Source organism: Homo sapiens, chromosome 7, assembly GCF_000001405.40.
Source record: "Homo sapiens chromosome 7, GRCh38.p14 Primary Assembly".
NCBI lineage: Eukaryota > Metazoa > Chordata > Mammalia > Primates > Hominidae > Homo > Homo sapiens.
In genome coordinates this window covers 45,201,111-45,219,685 of record NC_000007.14, presented here as the reverse complement: position 1 = coordinate 45,219,685, position 18,575 = coordinate 45,201,111, and the positions used below count along the sequence as shown (strand labels likewise).

Genomic DNA, 18,575 nt, shown 5'->3' with positions numbered 1-18,575 from the left:
AGGCACTACTGCGAGGGGCCTTGCGAGTGTAATTAAGCCACTAATCTGCTGACTTTAAAATAGAAAGATAATCCTGGATTATCCAGGTGGGCCCAATAGAAACCAGAAAAAAAAGAGAAAAGAGAGGCAGGAGAGACACCGAGTGTAGGGGGAGTTTGAGATACGCTGGCTAGTTCCGAGGCACAGGATCACACGCATGGGCTACAGACCAGCCTCCACGGCAAAGAGCAGCTCTGCTGCGTCTCAGAGGACACCGGCCCCGGGCCGGTGCCCACAAGGAGCTGCACGGTGCCAGGAGCCTGAGTGGGTCTGGAGGCGGATTCTTCCGAGAGCCTCCAGGGAGGAACACGGCCCAGCCTGCACCTCTGCTTCAGACTGGTGAGACCCAGAGCAGAGGAGCCCCTGAGCCATGCTGTGCCAGGCTTCTGACCCACAGGAACTGTGGGTCACATAATAAATCTGTGTTGTTTTAAGCCACCATGTGTGCAGTAATTGGTTATGACAGTAATAGAACACTAATACAGGCCCCCCAGAAATCTGAGCTGGATCAAAATGAAACAGCAGGATTGCATAGAAGCAGCACCAATGCCTGAATCCACACCAAGACAAGGCTCATCCTGTGGGTGTTGAGAAGGGAAGACAGGCAGGGGGCGGTGGCTCACACCTGTAATCCCAGAACTTTGGGAAGCTGAGGCAGGAGGATCACTTAAGCCAAGAAGTTCAAGATCAGCCTGGGTAACATAGCGAGACCCTGTCCCTACCAAAAAAAAAATATATATATATATAATATATAATATATAATATTATATATAAATATATATATATTTTAATATTATATATTAAAATATAATAATATTATATATTAAAATAATTATAAATATATAAAATTATATATTATATAATATTTATATAAATATTATATATTATATATAATTTTATATATTTTATATATAATATAATATATATATTAGCCAGAATTGGTGGTGCATGCCTGTAGTCTCAGCTACTCAGGAGGCTGAGGAGGGAGGCTTGCTTCAGTCCGGGAGTTCAAGGGTGCAATGAGCTATGACCCCACCACTGCACTCCAGCCTGGGCAACAGAGTGAGGCCCTGTCTCAATAAAAGAAAAAAAGAAGGAAGACAGATGTCACATGCATATTTACACAAGAAACCATTCCCCACAATAAATGCACAATTCTCAAGTTAGTGTGAAGAATAATTCTTCTCCAAGTGCATCTACGAACACATGTCAAATTTTGCTGTAACTCAATAAGAGAACCAACATAAAGACAAGGAAGAGGATTAAGGAGCATTTGAAAAACAAAGGCTTATAGTTAGAAATGTCAAAACAGTCTTGCTGAGTTAGATACAAGATACTATAGGATTGATAAATATGCCATGTTTATTAATCACCAGTATAGACAGCATGGAGTTGTCTTCTCTTCTCTATTTTTGCTTCTCTAAAAAGCAAAAATCCAACACAGCTATCATTTCCTCAGGGATCCCTTGATCTCACAAGGCTTTATAACTTCTGGGCCCTCATTAATCAAAGTTACCTCCCTTCCCCCAAAGGGGGCTTACAGAAAATGCTCTGGCGTGGAGGACTCTCAAAATCCTTGTTTCAAAGTTTGGAATAAACTATGGTTCTTACATTATATCTATGTCAAGCAAGCCTATTTTGTAAGAAGTGGTATTGATGCGGTTATAGGTGTGAGGAGAAGTTCCCATTCTAGGCATCAGGGGTAGCATGGGGGTGGGGACAGGGCACAAAACCACCTTCCAAGGGACCCCATGCTGATGAGAGGATATCACCCAACTTCCTCTCCCATAGCTAGACCTAAATACAAGGACATAAAAACTCTTTCCAGAATTTGTCCCACTAGCCCCCAACCTTTTTTCTTGTTCCTTTCAACTATGCATTCTTTGTTTGGTCTTTCCTAGAGACAAAATTCCTCAATTTTTGGTGCATATCTTAGCCTACCCTTAACCTCACCCAGAAACTGAACCAGTTCCTTTGGCTCAGTCCAGCTTTCCCCAGCAGCACAATCCCCCTACTGGAGACAAGAGGCAGAAGCCAGGGAACTCTGAATCTCAGTGCAGCTGGGCAAGCAGGACTGGCCATGGGAGGGGGCCCAGCAAACCAATTGGCCAGACAGTCTCCCAGCGTGGACGGGTGCTGCCCCCCTGCTGGGCACAAGGAGAATGTCCAGTGAGAGCCCGCCAGGCCCCGTCAGGGCAGTGGGCTCAAGGCGAGCTGGCCCCAGAGGGTAGGAGTTTTGGTCCCAACTCTGCCGCCAGCTCACTAAGAGATTTGGGGAAAAGCTATTATGTTGGTGCAAACATACTTGCAGTTTTTGCCCTTGGCAGTAATATCAAAACCACAATTACTTTTGCACCAACCTAAATACATTGTTCTCTGGGCCTTAGCCTCCCCACCTCTGCCACGAGAGGAGGGTGCGCCCATTTCTGCTGTGGTTTTCTAGGATGCCAACAGCTCCTCCTTTGCTCCCTCCACAGGGAACCCTCACTGAAAGGCACTTGATCACTCCTTCCTGGGGTTCGGGCGTGAGCCCAGATCCCCTCTCTGAGCCTGGAAGCGCTTGCTGGCGTAGCTTAGAGGCTCCCAGGTGTTGCTCATCATGAGCCAGGTGTGAAGGAGTGTGCTGAGCCCTCCAAGGGCTGTGAGATGCTGGCCAGATGCTGGAGGGGCAGAGAGAAGCTGAGTTTCCATCGTGCTCACACACGATGGAATGACCAGACTTTTTGGCTCCCGGGAACTCTGTGGCTCAGACCCTTTTAAAGCTGCCAGGAAAGAGCCCTCAGTGCCCGGCTCCCTGGCACCAAGCACTTCCCACCGAGGAGCCAAGGATGCAGTCATTTGGGGTGGTGGGTGTGTGGGCACGATGGAAACTCAGCCTCTCTCTGCCCCACTGCCCTGCATCCCCTGCAGTGGGATCCCTGCCTCACCCTCAGAGGCCCACTGAGGCAGGTCCTCACTTTTCCGGTCACTCTCAGATAACAAAAGTCACACTGGTCCTAAACAGTCCATAGTCATGAAAATGGCCGGTCCATCAAAATAACCAAAACGCCCTGAGTGGCCCTGTGTGGGGACCACCTGCAGCGAGAAGGCTGGCGCTCAGCTTCCTTCTTCCTTCCAGGAGCCGCCAGCTTCTCCAGGCTGCAGCCAGCAGGCATGCAGGTGGAGGGTGTGGGACAGGCACTGCCTTGCTCTCCTCTGGCCAGGCAGTGCCTGAAGCAAGTGAGGATGCTCCCCAGGTCCTCCCTGAGCACAGCGTCCTCAAACAGCAGGAGGAGCTCATCAGGCTCTCCGTGAGTGTGAGAGAGCGAGGAGCACCACTGGCTCTGACCCTCTGCTGTGCATCCAGTCCCTCACCTCCCTTGGCAAAACTGACAGGGACACATTTCCATTCCCGTGTCCTGTGCTGTAGGATAGTGCTGTGGACTGAAGAATGTCCCCCAAAATTCTGGCATTGAAGCCCTAACCCCTAGTGTGATTGTATTGGAGATAGAGCTTTCAGGAGCTAAGTAAGGTTAAATTACGAGGTCATAAGGGCAGAGTGCTAATCTGATAGAATAAGTGCCCTTATCAGAAGAGAAAGAGGAAGATCGCGCACTCTCTCTCTCTCTCTCCACCCCCTTCTCTCTCTCCCTCCCTCCCCTTCTTTCTCTCTCTCCCTCTTCCCTCCCCGCCCATGTGAAAACACACGGAGAAGGCAGCCTGAGCTAACACAGATGGCAAAGCACGTGGAGTGCGCCTGGGGTGGCCCTGCCAGCAGATGTGCATCAGCTATCAAGGAGATGGTTTTCTAAGTGGAATTAGCATCCCCTACTCCCAGGCAGGCTTCAGCAATAGCACTGGGAGCGACACACACAGTGCTCCCTGTGTGCTGGCATCACCATGTTCACCCTCCCAAAGGCTCCTGATGTGGATGAGGGAGCCCAGCCCCCACCTCCCAGGAAGCCAGAGAAACAGAAGTGAACCCAAGTTGGTGCTGAAGCAGGTGGTTTGGACCGCTCACTGAGCCACCTCCTGGTTTGCTGAGTACTGTCACAGACATATCATTTCACACTCAGTTCAGCAGCTTTCAGAGACAAATCGTTGTTGAGCTACTTTTGCAACCCACATGCTGCGTGAATGCTGAGGAGCCAAGGATGTAGGAAGCAGACACATCCCCTGCCCTCCTGGGCTCAGTCCACTACAGAAGATAAGACCCCATCAAACCATCACACGAGCACATGTAAACCTGCAATTGTATAAACCACAAATTCATACCAACCTTCGCAAAATTCCAGCAGGGATTTGTGAAGAATTTGAACAATCTTTTTCTGTAGTTGATATGGGGCAAGAAAGATCTGCAGAGAGCTCACCACACTTTTGAAAAGGAAGAGCAGGGAGGACTTACTCCTCCAGGCACTCAACCGCTTCAACCCTTTAGTGACAGCAGCTTCTCCGGGGTTCAGGACAGACAAGGAGAAGACCCAGGTGGATGGGGAGCTTGGAGTAAGACAGAGACACCGTGAGCAGAGGAGAGAGGACAGCTCCAGAGGTGGCACTGGGGAAATCACTCCTGAGACAAGCAAAGCCTGACTCTATACATGACACCACTTACAGAGGTGGATGTCATACGAATTCAAGACTGAAAATGGAGAGGTACAATTACAAAACCGAGAAAAAAAATCGAATCTCAGGACCCCAAACTCACTATGCCAAAAGGAGAGTTAAGCTTGGGATCTGAGTCACACGATACAGTCTTCCTTTTGTTCCCAAACAGATCGCTGTAATTTCACAACCCTGTGTCATAGCCTCATCCATAAGCCAGGTTCCCACCAGATGGAAGGCCACATATCTCCCCAGGTGGCCTCCCTCACAAATTGCTCACAAGTAAATTCCTCGTGAACCCCTCAGTCTTTCGGGATATATGCCCCTTTCCTGTAAATTAGCCCTAAAGCTGAATTCTGTTGAATCTCACCCTGACAATATCAGTTACCAGCTTATCTTCACAGGTGCGAAGAAAGACGAGAAATCATCCCTCTACCTACCCTGAGAGGAAGGCATAATTGACTTTTTCCTCTACTCCCTCCTTTCATGTGTGAAATGTGGATTTACTGAGCACTAATGGGAGCCTCACAAGAAATAACCATTTGCCTCACTTCTACCCTCCCTCCATTTTTTCCTCCTGCTTGCTCTTTCCTCTTGAAATACTCCCAAACTCTCTTTGGAAAGCAAAGGGCACAGATGCTCCTGTGACCTGTGTTTTTCTTGTGCACATCCTTAAACTTTGGCTAAATAAACCTCTATCAATTGAGACACCTGCCTCAGTCACTTTTTGGCTTACAAAACCATGAGAAGAGCCTGTCTTTGTGACTAGGGATAAAGTCTTCTTAAATAAAATGATCAAGGCACACACCATAAGGTGAGAGACAAATGGATTTGACAACATTCAAATTAGGGACTATGGGCCAGGCATGGTGGCTCACACTTGTAATACTGTAAGGGGTGAGTGTATTGCTTGAGCTTAAGACCAGCCTAGGCAACATGGTGAAACCCCATCTCTACAAAAAATACAAAAATTAGGCATGGTGGCATGTGCCTATAGTCCCAGCTACTTGGGAGGCTGAGGCAGGAGTATCACTTGAGCCCAGGTCGGGTGAGTCTGCAGTGAGCCATGATTGCACCACTGCACTCCAGTCTGGGCAACAGAGTGAGATCTTGCCTCAAAAAAAAAAAAAAATTAAGGAGTATGGTTCAGTGAAAAACATCATTTGTAAATTAACAGATGACAGCCTTATCTAAAACTGACAAAAGAGTAAAATCTGGACTATCTGGACTATATTAGTAATTCCTATAAATGAATAATAAAAAGCCAGGTGATGAACAGGCACCTGCTGAAAAGGAAGCCCAAATGGTAACAAGTATATGAAGAAATAATCACAGTTACTAGTAATAAGATAAAGAATAACTTTTAGTGAGGTGCCACTTTATACCCAACAGAATCCCACACACAAAAAAACTAGAAACGTGTATAATACCAAGTGTTGGCTAAGATGTGAAGAAGCAGGAATCCTCCTCCCCATCAAGAGGAGAGGGAACTGGTTTCAGCCATCTGGGAAAGCAATATGGTGGCATTCAGCAAATTAAGGAATTCAGCTTCTGGGTATACATCCTAAAGAGACTCTCAGAGAGCTTCACTCAAATGCCCATAGAGGATGCTGCTCATCACAGGATTAACTGCCCTAGGGCACTGAGCACAGCCCAGGTCAATGATGATAAAAGGAGGAGAATGGCCAAGAAAAGGCACTCTAGGCCTGTGCAACAGGACTGGTTGATGGACCCAACACTCACTCCCATCCCCTTATCTACCTCCATTGTGGCACCTGGAAAACATAAATATCCCCTCTTTCCAAATGCCCATGAGGGTGGGGCGGCTGCCGAGCCTGCTGAGAAGTGTGGGGAACCTCTGCTTCCTCCAATGGCTGACAGCACCCCCTTCACCGCACACACAGCAGCAGCGAGACGGGGTCCCGGGCACTGGGGACAGCCACAAAAGGGAGAGCGTTCACATTCAACCCTTCAACTGGATGTTTTTGCTCTCCCTGGCATTTCATTTTTATGATCTCTTTCTTGTCCTCTGAACGCCTGTTCACAGGCATCCTGCTCATTTGGATGTGACGTCTGCTCCTGCCCCGCCTAGAATAGCCCTTCTAGTGCTGCTACTGCTGTCTGCTTTGTCTGCTTCAGTCTCTGTTGTTCAGTTTGGAGGCTCTCCTTGAAGTCAGCCGATTCTTGGCTGAATGTGAATATTTAAGGGGAGAACATTAGAACACTGGCTGGAAGCTCCCCAGGAGAGGGCGGGGCCTGGGCACTGAGGTGCCATGGATGGGACAATCACATCCTGCCCCACAACCTCCCAGGGGAGCCCCAGAGGGCAGCATCCACAGCTCTGTCCTCTGAGTTGATCAGTTTTCTCAGCGTAGGAAGGGGGATTTTCCAGTCTGCATATGGAGGAATGGAACATTCTAGAAGCCCAGCAAGAAAAGCAGCTGGAGCTCACCTTTCACAGTCTCACTTATTCACCTTCCACCCCAGCAGGTCTCCTGTAGGGTGGGACAAGGCTCAGGGACTTAACCAGCCCACAGCCCACCTGGGCCAGCGTCCTCACTTCCCTCCAGTTCTGAGCCTCTCTGGGGTCTGGGGCCCCATGGCTTGCTCCCCACTGGCCCACCCAGGTTTGTAGGTCTCACCTTCCCTCACTCTGCAAAGTTCAGCCACTTTCTGTCTCCCAAAATCTTGCTGACATCTCTCCTTGGCTGTCATTCCCTTTTTTATTCTCTTTGTCCTTGTATGTTCCTTCTCTGTTCATTGAGTGGAATTTGGGGAAATGAATGTTACTCCACCACACTTAACAAAATTCCCATCCATGAGTTTCTACCACCCGCCTGGGGTTCTCTCCCAACTGGGGAAGAAAGGGGAGAAGGACTGGGGTCATACAGGGCAATCTGCCAGAATCTGCCCATGTCTGCACCCTCTGTTCCTATTTCCCCTTCTTCGTATCATGCCCTGTGTCCTCAGACCTCCAAGCTCCACACAAAATGGGAGGTGTGAAATTTCTACCTCCCTGTCCTAGCACAATGGAGCCTGGCCTGCTAGACTCTTGCCTCACTAGAAATCCTAGTCAGTCTCAAAACTCAAAGCCAAGCAATGGCATTTGTGTCCTACCCACCATCTGAGTGTTATTAAATCAGTAGGTGGGAGCCACAGGACTACATGATCTGGGGAGAAATAAAAATTCATTGGTTTAATGTTTTGAATGGCCACCAGTATACTTCATGCTACAGGGGGCATGTGAAACAGAAGACTTTGGGCCTATCAGCTTTTCTGGGGAGGTGAGGAGCTCAGAACGGGAGGATGAGATGTTAATTAGGCCAGAGGAGAAGGAAGGAGGAAACCAAATGAGCAAATGGCCCAAGACAGGTGACTTCTCAGCACTCCCACAGCAGCAGCCATTCCCATGCCAGTCCTCAGTCTGATGTGTCAGATCTCAGGGCTTCTACTCATTCCCAGGGCAGAAAGTATGGCCATCACATGAAGCAATGGTAGGCATCCAGGACAAATTTGAGGATTTTACATTCAAAATTCATGTCCTAGAATGGCTCCGCCTTGACTTGTAAACACCAATGTTTAAAAGTCACTACCCTCTCAGGCCCTCAGTCAATCCCCGGGCAGTGCCAAGCTTTCTCCTACATCCAGACATCAGAGCCACACAGAGTGAAGGCACCAGGTCAGACGATCATCTGAGCTTTCCCTCAAAGCTGCTGCCCACACAGCCCAAGCTGACCTTAGTGGGGATCACACAGCAGTTGCGTCATGAGTGGACACTTTTCAAATGAAAGCTCTTGGGAACATCTCAGGAGACAATGGAGGGAAACCCACCTTCTTCTAATGAGCTTCCTCTCTGTCAAGTCCTGCACGGTGCCAGGCATAGGTGGGGCTTCCAGGATAATATCCTTTAATTTTAGGGGAATCACATGTAGTGTGGCCCCCTGGGCAAGAACAGGAAATCCTGCTAGATATAACTTGGTGTGTTTTATAGCTCCTGCAACTGTTTGAGAGACCAATATCAAATTGAAGGTCTGGGAGCAACTACACCTAACAATGAGACTCTGTCCCAGAAACAACAGCTTCCACTCTGCAGTCCCAGACAAAAATCCTGTCATTTCTGGTAGCCACGCATTAACTCAAGCGCTCAAGAATGCAGTCACAAAATGTACCTAATGACTCCCACATCTAGCTCTTGGCCTAAATCTCTCACCTAAGCTTCAGATTTAGATGTGAACCCAACATACCTCAAACCTAATGTGTCTAGAACAGAACTCATACTGGTGGGAGGAGGTCAGGGAGACTTTACAGATGAGGAAATCTTTAAATTGGGCCTTGCAGCAGAGTAGGAGGCAGAGATGGGAAAGAGGATGGAGAGAAGGTGGGAACACATTTGAGAAAAATTTAGATGGTAGAATCAATAGGGTTTGAAGACTGATTGGATGTGGCATTGGGGGAGGGCTATTAGGGGAATTCAATAGGTTTCAGCAACACATTTTTAAATACTCATTTTTGAAATAGATAATACATGTACATGGTTTAATATTCAAGGACTACAAAAAGGCATATCATGAAGAGTGGGTATTCTTTCCACGCCCATACCCCAGGCATCTGTCCCCTCACTGAGTGGGTCTAGGAGGGGCCACGAAGCATAACGTCTCTGCACCTGGGTCTTTTCACCCGATAACACACAGGGAAGACTATCCCCACTCAACACGCATCAAATGGACCACATTGCATTTGTACTTAACTAGAATTCGGTTCCTGAACATTTAAGTTGCTCTCTAGCTTTTGCTGCAATAAATATCCTTACAGATATATATGTGCAAGTGTATCAGTAAGATGAATTTCTTCAAGTGAAATTGATGAGTCAAACGTATATGCATTTCCAGTGGTTTTTGTTTTTTGGTTTTGGATTTTGGGTTTTCTTGAGACAGCGTCTCACTCTGTTGCCCAGGCAACAGTGGCACGATCACAGCTCACTGCAGCTTCAACCTCCCAGGCTCAAGCCATCCTCCCACCTCAGCCTCCTGAGTAGCTGGGACTACAGGCATGTACCACCATGCCCAGCTAAATTTTTTTTGTAGAGTTGTGGTCTCCCTACATTGCCCAGGCTGGTCTCAAACTCCTGAGTTTAAGCAATCCTCCTGTCTCTGTCTCCCAGAGTGCTGGGATTACAGGCATGAGCTACTATGCCTGGCCTCCAATGTTGTGCGATAGATACTGCCAAATTGCCCTCCACAAACAGTGTCCCAATTTATACCCCCAGCAGCAACATATGAGAGTAACTTTTTCCTTGCACCTTCCCTGACACAGTGTATTATCACACCTTTAGACTTTTTTTTTTTCTTTAGACAGAGTTTCGCTCTTGTTGCCCAGGATTTAGTGCAATGGCACGATCTCGGCTCACAGCAACTTCCGCCTCCCAGGTTCAAGCCATTCTCCTGCCTCAGCCTCCAGAGTAGCTGGGATTACAGGCATGCACCACCACGCCCGGCTAATTTTGTATTTTTATTGGAGACGGGGTTTCTCCATGTTGGTCAGGCTGGTCTCCAACTCCTGACCTCAGGTGATCCGCCCGCCTCAGCCTCCCAAAGTGCTGGGATTACAGGCATGAGCCACCACACCCAGCCACCTTTAGACTTTTGCCAGTCGGATAAAGAATAATGACAACTTCATACAGTTTAAATTGTGTTATTTCTTATTTTAATGAGGTTGAACATCTCTTCACCTGTGTAAAAGTTATTTCAATAAAATAATCCCATTGACACCTACTATATCCTAGGTATTGGGCTTAGTAGAAAGGACAAAAATCAGAACGACTCCTGTTTCTGCCTTAGCTAACTTGGTGGATGACTATGTCACTCACTGAATACAAGAAGAGGCAGAATCTCAGTAGAGATGTGAAGGGGTTGAGAAGAGAGAACAGGAAGATGTAATAGTCCAGATGAGAAAATACACTGGTCTAAACTAGCCCCGTGGCAGAAGGAACAAAGAAAGAAAGGATTAAAGCCGTAGAAAGAATAAACTTTGGGGACTACATGGGTGTGGAATCTGGGAGAGGGAGGAGTCATGTATTATTCTTCAGCTCTGGGTTAGAGAGTTTAATAAAAGATGGATCCATTTCCTGAGAAAGAAACACAATAGGAAATGCAGGCATTGAAGAGGAGATTATAAGACTAGGATATATGCTGCAAGTCAAGGTGCAGTGACAGGAAATGTAGTTACCTGCCAGTCTGAAAAAGCAAGAAAGGAAAGGAAGAAAGGAGGGAGGGAGGAAGGAAAGGAGAGACAATTTATAAAATACAACCGTTTTCAAAATATTGGACATCAAATAATGAAGGACAATGGTCCCTGAGAGCTGGAAAACAAGCAAGATGAGCCCTAGGATGCCCCAGCTTCCTGTCTTAGGAGAATTTTCAGGTTGTAGAATAGAGAGGGGGAGTTGAGAATACGGAGCTGAGAAACTCAGGGGACTAGAGTTTTCAGGACATGTTACAAGATGTGATACAAGCTGCACAGAGAGAGAGTTCTGAAGATATGCAGAGGGTTCTCCTTGAGTCTTCAGTTAAAAATGATCAGTACATGCATGAAGAAACTACCCAAAGCCAGGAAAAGAGCCATTTCAAAGGGTTAGAGAAAATAGGATCCAGTATTTACACTACCCCAGTACCACAGAGCTGGTAACAGTACCTATTCCCACCAGCCAAATTGGAAAACCTTGTAATTCACAGTTCACTGAATCAAGTACTCATAGGGTCTAACTTTAGCAGAGGGGAATAATTAGCCCTAGACTACACATTGTTCTGGTACAGCCTAGCAAACTTTAATAGCAGGACCTGAAAGATTCAAATGATTTCTGTGAAGATCACTGCATCCAAGAACAGGACTCTGGATATTTCTATCAACACAAAAGTACCCAGCACAAACAAGAAAAAATTCACAATACATGTTATTTAATCAAAAATTATAAGGTAGGCAAAGAAGCAGGATAATACAATTTATAATAAGGTGTAAAATCAATCAATCAAAAGTGACCCAGAACGGACCAAAATTAGCACACAAGGACATAAAAACATATAAATAATTACTATAACTATATTCAAAAAGCTAAAGGGAAGATTTAATACTTTAAAATAGTAACACAGAAGTATTTTTAAAACCCCAAGGTAAACTTCTAGAGGTGAAAACTGTAATAACTGATATGAAATATGCACTGGATGAGATTAACAACAGGTTAGACACTGAAGTAGAAAAAGAATAGTGAATTTGAAAACATAGCCATAGAAACTATTGAAAATGAAGTGAAGTAAAAGTGAAGTTTTCACTCAAAAACATAAAAAACACCAGTGAGCTGAGGAATAACTTCAAGCGACCTAATAAACATGGAGTTGGAGTTGCTAAATCAAGATCATGTAGGAGGGTTAACAGGAAAAAAAAGGTCTGAAAAAAACAGGGCCAAATATTTTTCCAAATTTAATGAAAGCTATAAGATCACAGATCCAAGAAACTCAAGAAGCTCCAAAGAAACATGAAAAAATACACAAAGGCATATTATAACCAAAATACTTGCAACTAGAAAATCTTGAAATTAGCCAGAGGAAAATGGCATGAAACACAGAAAGGAAACAAGACAAGGATGACAGCAGAAACAAGGCAAGCAAGAAGATAGTGAAGCAAAACTTTTAAAGTACCATACAAAAAGTGTAAACTTAGACTCCCATGCCCGACAAAAATATCTTTCAAAAACAAAGGCAAGCACTTCTGGAATGGTGGCATGAGGAGCTCTGCAAACGTTATTCTCGGCAAAATGACAATAATTGGCGGAGGAAAAAAATTTTTTAACAAAAACAATCATTTAAAATTTCTGGAAATTGTCCCAAAGGCATACAGCAAATGGAGAAACACTATTCAGGAGAATCTGAATAATCTCAAAAAGAACGGTAACGTACTATGGCATCTGAGGACCAACCTACTCTTTCAACAAACCCCTTGTGTGATGAGACCTGTACTCTGGGCAGGTGGAGTCAAGAAGATGAGGCTCCTTCTCCCCCTACTTTCTGATCTAGAATTATAATTATTCGCTAGGAGAGGCAAGACACCAACATTTCTCATTCCCCCACCTCAGCTCTGTGTTGAAGAATCTCTAATTCTGGCAAATGTGGCTGAGAACTCTTGGGATCTCTTCTTCCACCCAACCCCATTCATAGGGCAGAAGCTCTACACAGGTACAGCAGGGTGAAAATTCTGGGCCCAACTGTCCTCAAACCAGCTTGCTTATAGGATGGAGATTCAATGCCAGGATAGGGAAGCCAAGAAGACCAGAGTCTACTGACTATGCTCATCACCCCAAGGGTGGAGCAGGGTGTTACTCCAAGAGAAGCAAGCTACCATCCTGACCCCCAGCTTCAGAGCAGTGGCACAGAGCTTCTCAGAGGGAGAGAAAATCAGTAAGGACAGAGAGCTCTATAGCTCTCCCCAGTGGAACTGACTTCATTTAGAATAGAGCATAGGGAAATGCCTAAGGGCATGATCAAAGACAGTTGAGATTTTCATGATCAGCAATTAACAGTAATCCCGGCACTTTGGGAGGCCGCGGTGGGTGGATCACCTGATGTCAGGAGTTCGAGACCAGCCTGGCCAACAGGGTGAAACTCAGTCTCCACTAAAAATACAAAAATTAGCTGGGTGTGGTGGTGGATGTAATCCCAGCTACTCAGGAGGCTGAGGCAGGAGAATTGCTTGAACCCAGAAGGCAGAGGTTGCAGTGAGCCGAGATAGTGCCACTCTACTCCAGCCTGGGTGACAGAGCGAGACTCCATCTCAGGAAAAAAAAAAAAAGTAAGCTGGTAGCTCCATGATGGCAACGAGTGAAATAGGATCAGCTAGAAATTCAACAGAGAGAAAAAGAGAGCGAGAGCTAAGAAGAGTTCTCCTGAGGCTGTCAGTAAGTCTCAAAGACAGCTTCAAAGAAAGTCCTGCTAAGCAGAAAGACATTAATTGGATCAGACTAGGGGACAATTTATTCTTCAGGGCCTGACAATAAAAACAGCAATCAGCTGGCAATTAGTGGAGGATAACACCTGGATGGAATACTAGAGGCAGGGCAGGTAGAAGTTCAACAGTGATATCAGAGAAACAGACAGTCAGAGACCTCCACCAAAAACATGGTTAACCCTAGAGGAGGAGAGTTCAGGTGATGTCCTATGCCTTCAGGGGAGCATTCGGGGACTGCACACTTTGGGGGATATAGACTTCACTGGATAATACAGCTAAGCCACTAAATAAATGACCTAGCAGACAAGAAAACAATAACAAACTCCTGAGGAGTAGAGATCAGTACCCAGATCTGCTATTACCTAAAATGTCCAATTTTTCACAAAAGAAATATGAAACTTAAAGAAAGGAGTGTAATGCACACCCAGTGAGGGTGGGGGAAGATGCAGGCAACAGAAACTGCCTTTGCCTTTAAGGGCTTCCAGGTGTTGGAATTTAACAGACATAAACTCAAAGCAGCTATCATAAATGTGGTCAAAAACCAAAAGGAGCCATGTTTAAAGAATTAAAAGAAGGTACAATAACGATGACTCACCAAATAGAGAACATTAATGAAGACATAGAAATTAGAAATAATTTGTAAAGCTAAAAAGAGCCAAATGGAAACTCTGGAGTTGAGCGCCATAGTATTTTACTGTTCTTACTGATAAAGCTAAGGGAATTCAGCACTGGCAAACCCACCTTACAAGTAGTATGAAAGGAAGTTCTTCAGGCTAAAAGTAAGTGACACCAGAAAGTGATCTGAATAAACAGGAAAAATCAAAGAGCTCCAGTAAAGGTAATGATACAGGTAATGATAAAACAAAAACTAAGTTTTTCTGTATGCCTCCTCTTAGCTAATGTAAAAAAAATTGCATAAAATAGTATCTACAAAATTGCATTATTGGGCCTGTAGGGACAAGAATGTAATATATTTTACAATAACAATACAACAGAAGGAGTGGAAACGAAAGTGGCAAAAGGGGTAGAAAAGGAAGTGGCATAAGAAAAAGAGAGCAGATAGTAACTCAGAGCCATAGGAGGAAATGAAAAGAATCAGAAATGGTAAATAATAATGTTACTATTTTTAAAACCCAATAAATCCATTTGTGTTCTTTGGTCTCTTGGCTTCTTTAAAAGACATGAGATCATATAAAGCAATCATTACATCAGTGTATTGTTGGGTTTGTAACATACGTAGATGTCATATGTATAACAGTAATAGCACAAAAAAAAGAGGGAAGAGAAGGGAGCAATATAGGAGTAAGTTTCTATATCTTATTGGAATTAAGCTAGTATAAATCTGAAATAGATTCCACATTAAGGTATATATATATAAGTCCTAGAGAACCAAAAAGAAAATAACTCAAAAATACACTTTTTTAAATGAGTAAAGAAGTTACAATATTATATTTAAAACATCCATTTAAGACAAAAGGAGGTAGCAAAGGAGGAAAAAGAAATAATGCAGTAATGAGACAGAAGAAAGCAAAGAGCCAAAAGGCGGAGATAAAACCTATCATATCCACAGTAACACTGAAGAACGAAAAGCAGAGAGACCGAGTCAGGGAGGAGCAGGGGCTGGGTGCGGTTTGGTTTTCTCTGGCCATTTTAACTCCCAAGAGCCCTGAGGAGCCTCTGCCCCAACAGGCATGCCCTGAGGCTTCATACACATTTACCTCTTGATGGGTCTGGGGAGAGACATTTGCTTTCATTATCCTTGGGTAATATTCTGAGTGCTGCTTTTAGTTTCTATTTCTCTTGTATAGAGTCTAGTTTCCAAGAAAGCCTGCAGAACTTTCTGAGTCTTTAGTTTCTGCATATGGTTGCTGTTCATAAGTACACTTCATCCTGAACTGGAAAGTCTGATGATGCAATCTTCAACCGTCTTTCCTTAGCTGGAAAAGACACAAGGCTTGGAATTCAGTTTGATTATTTGTGAAACCACTCCCCTTGCTTTCCAAGTTTCCTTCTTTCTCAAGCCAAATATTGGACAGAGAGTTCTTATAACAGCTTTGGCCACTCTATACTGTCCTGAGCCTCAACCTCCCTATCCCTGGGGAGAAAAGTATACCCTGAACCAGAGCTGGGACCTTCAGGGACAGACACATCAGTGTTCTCCTGCTGCCTCTTTTGGAATAGAGTGTCAGACTAGGGTCCCTAGCCAAGATTTTCCTCTCCTCCTGAGACCTATGTGGATCCCTGTTCCCATGAGTGGGCTGCTGCTGCCCCTGGACAGTGGGGCTTTGAGAGAGCTCTGGGTTGCGGCACCTGGCCCTACATGGGCAGACCCCAGACACTAGGAATGACAGCAGCCAAGCCAGAGCGGCACGCCTTGGCCAGAAGTTGCTCTGGAACAAGCATTATGGAGTGCCAATCAATAAAGGGCGGGAACACTGATATTGCCCGCCCAATCTGGGCACCAGAATCTCGCCTGTAGCCATCAGACAGGACCCATCCTTCCTGACCAAGCTTCCAGACACTTCCTGGAAGAGCTCTTTAATTTGGCTCAAATGAAAACAACAAAAATGTTCCCCGTACAAATCCATGCTGTGAACTGAGCTCTATGCAGTTTACCACACACAGTTAACGTAACCAAGATTATTTTCAAAAACCACAGGAAAGGTAGAGTGAGATTTCTCCCCTATCAGAGTCACTGGAACACAACACCAGCCATGACTACAGAACTGCGTGGGTCCAATCCAGTGGGAATTCCTCTTCTGGCCTCCCCTCCTTCTTGTTGTTCTCATTCCCTGCTTGTCGGTGCTATGTTTGGGTCTCCTTCCATCAGCTCCTCATGGTCTGCAGACCACTTAGAGCGTTTACACCGCAGTGGCCCCGAGTTTTCTGTAAGCACCAAAGTCTGACCTGCTGACACCTGAAAAGGCTGTTTTGTGCTGAGGCCCAAAATGCCACTTGCTGATTATTCATCCCCCAGAGGACAAGATTAGGTGACAAAAGTTTAGGGAGAACTACAGCTTCCTTATCATTTTACCATGTCTATATATTGCTTTAAAATTTAAAAATAACTTACTTAAGAAGAACAGATGGGAGCAGATGGGGACGTCCACATTGCCTCTGAAAGTCACTTTCATGTATTCCTCAGATGCTCATCGACCGCCCACAAGCCAAGCTTGTCCAGGTTCAGAGATGGATCAGACACAGTCTCCAGGCATCTTCCTCACAGGCAGCTCATCACAGGAGTCCCTGCCTGGATGGAGGCTGTGCGGGATGTCGGGGGAGGGTCCCCCTGGTGGGGAAACAGCAGGTGGGGCTGCAGGGAGGGGGAAGGCTTGAGTGAAGGCTCTGGGGAGGAGGAGGCCTGGGGCCTGCAGGGCCTGGGTGACCAGAAGCACCAGGTAGCCGGAGGAGCTGGTGCTGCTGGGGCTGGGAGAGCAGAGACAGAAGGCACAGGCACCAGCACCTTGTCCAGTTGACGCCATAAATCCAGGACATCTAAGCACAGGAGTGCCTTGGCCACCCCATGATATATGGGTGAGCTGCTGGGGCCATTCTCTGCTTCAGCCAAAGGCACAGGCAAGGAGCCAGGCCCTGGACCTGTGGAGCCGGAGAACTCCTTACACCACTGCTGCCCATCCTCCTTCCAGGACACTGCCCCATGCACCCCATGACACCTGAGCTCATGTACCCCCCTGATATCAACATCTAAGGCATCACCCAGCAGAGACTGGACACCACACTCCCCACTCCCCTGACCCACCATAAGCCAATGTCCTGAAGTGCAAAAATGTCCTAAAATGGCTTTTCTTTGAGGGCTTATTTAGACCATGCCTTTCCATCCCAAACAGGGACTTTTTAAAAAATCATAATAGATTTAAAGATATGGTGTTGGTAAGTCCCTGGACTTCCCTCGGCCCCAGTTTCCACCTCCCCATCTATAGCGTCCTTAGAAGTAGGGTGGAATCTACCAGTAATCAAAAAATGTCCTTCCAGCTCTGACAATTTGGGATTCATTGGTGTTGAGGAAGCAGCAGATTGTCTTTTTAGATGGGGCCCAGCCCATCTTACCTCTCAGACAACTCAAGGGTTCCAACTGGAGCTCACAGGATGAGAGGCAGCATGTCCCCAATAAGCCAGGGAGACTGAGGGCTGCCCACTGCCCTCCTGAGAGAAGGAGGGTCCCTGAAGAGGTTCACAAGTCCAGGCTTCCACTCAGTAACAAGAGCAAGTACAGTAGCCACACAGATACTCACCTTTGAACTGGTGATGGAGATGAATATTCTGCTCTAAACTGAATACCAGACCAGGCACAGTGGCTCCCACCTCTAATCCCAGCACTTTGGGAAGCCGAGGCTAGTGGATTGGTTAAGCCCAGGAGTTTGAGACCAGCCTGGCCAACATGGTGAAACTCCATCTCTACTAAATATATAAAAATTAGCTGGGCATGGTGGCATGCACCTGTAGTCCAAGCTACTCCGGAGGCTGAGATGGGAGGATCACCTTAGCCAGGAGGTCAAGGCTGCAGTGAGCAGTGATTGTGCCACTGCACTCCAGTCCATGGTTGGGAAAAGCTAACCTAGAAGACTTAAATGATATGAGAAAAGAGGCCATGTGTTTTAGAGAAATAGTCCTGCCCTGGAAGATAGGGCACCAGGAGCAAAGTTCAAATCTGCCTGGGCCTAAAGTGGAGAGAGCCCTGCCTATTGAAACCACCTTTGCAGAATTGTAAGTAAAGAGAGAAATCTAACACGAATGACTCCATCTTGCTTCTAACCTCACAGGCTAAATTGGTTTGTTTGATTGTTTGTTTGCTTGTTTTGCTTCTTGTCATGCAGAGGCCAAGATAACTATGAGAAGAATTTCGTTTATAGTTAAATTTGAGGCAAGGGAAACTGATCCTCCTCCTTGTTTAGAGACTGAAGCTGCATCCGTACGACAAGATTAGAATTATGGTAGGGGAT

The 18,575-nt window shown here is 45.9% G+C and overlaps 1 long non-coding RNA gene across 1 annotated transcript, besides 1 other annotated feature; it reads right to left on the bottom strand.

The window, feature by feature from the left end:
- Positions 1 to 11,556: 11,556 nt before the first annotated feature.
- On the bottom strand, positions 11,557 to 17,985 carry LOC124901623 (uncharacterized). The gene is made up of 2 exons (XR_007060301.1): positions 16,688 to 17,985; positions 11,557 to 15,551 (listed from the first exon to the last, which is right to left on the bottom strand). It is a non-coding gene; the product is annotated as an uncharacterized LOC124901623 (long non-coding RNA).
- Positions 15,314 to 15,473: an enhancer, noted in NCBI's record as "active region_25971". NCBI's record gives its function as "activates an Ori minimal core promoter by ATAC-STARR-seq in GM12878 lymphoblastoid cells {active_cell/tissue: GM12878}" and the evidence as "EXISTENCE:reporter gene assay evidence [ECO:0000049][PMID:35858748]".
- Positions 17,986 to 18,575: the final 590 nt, after the last annotated feature.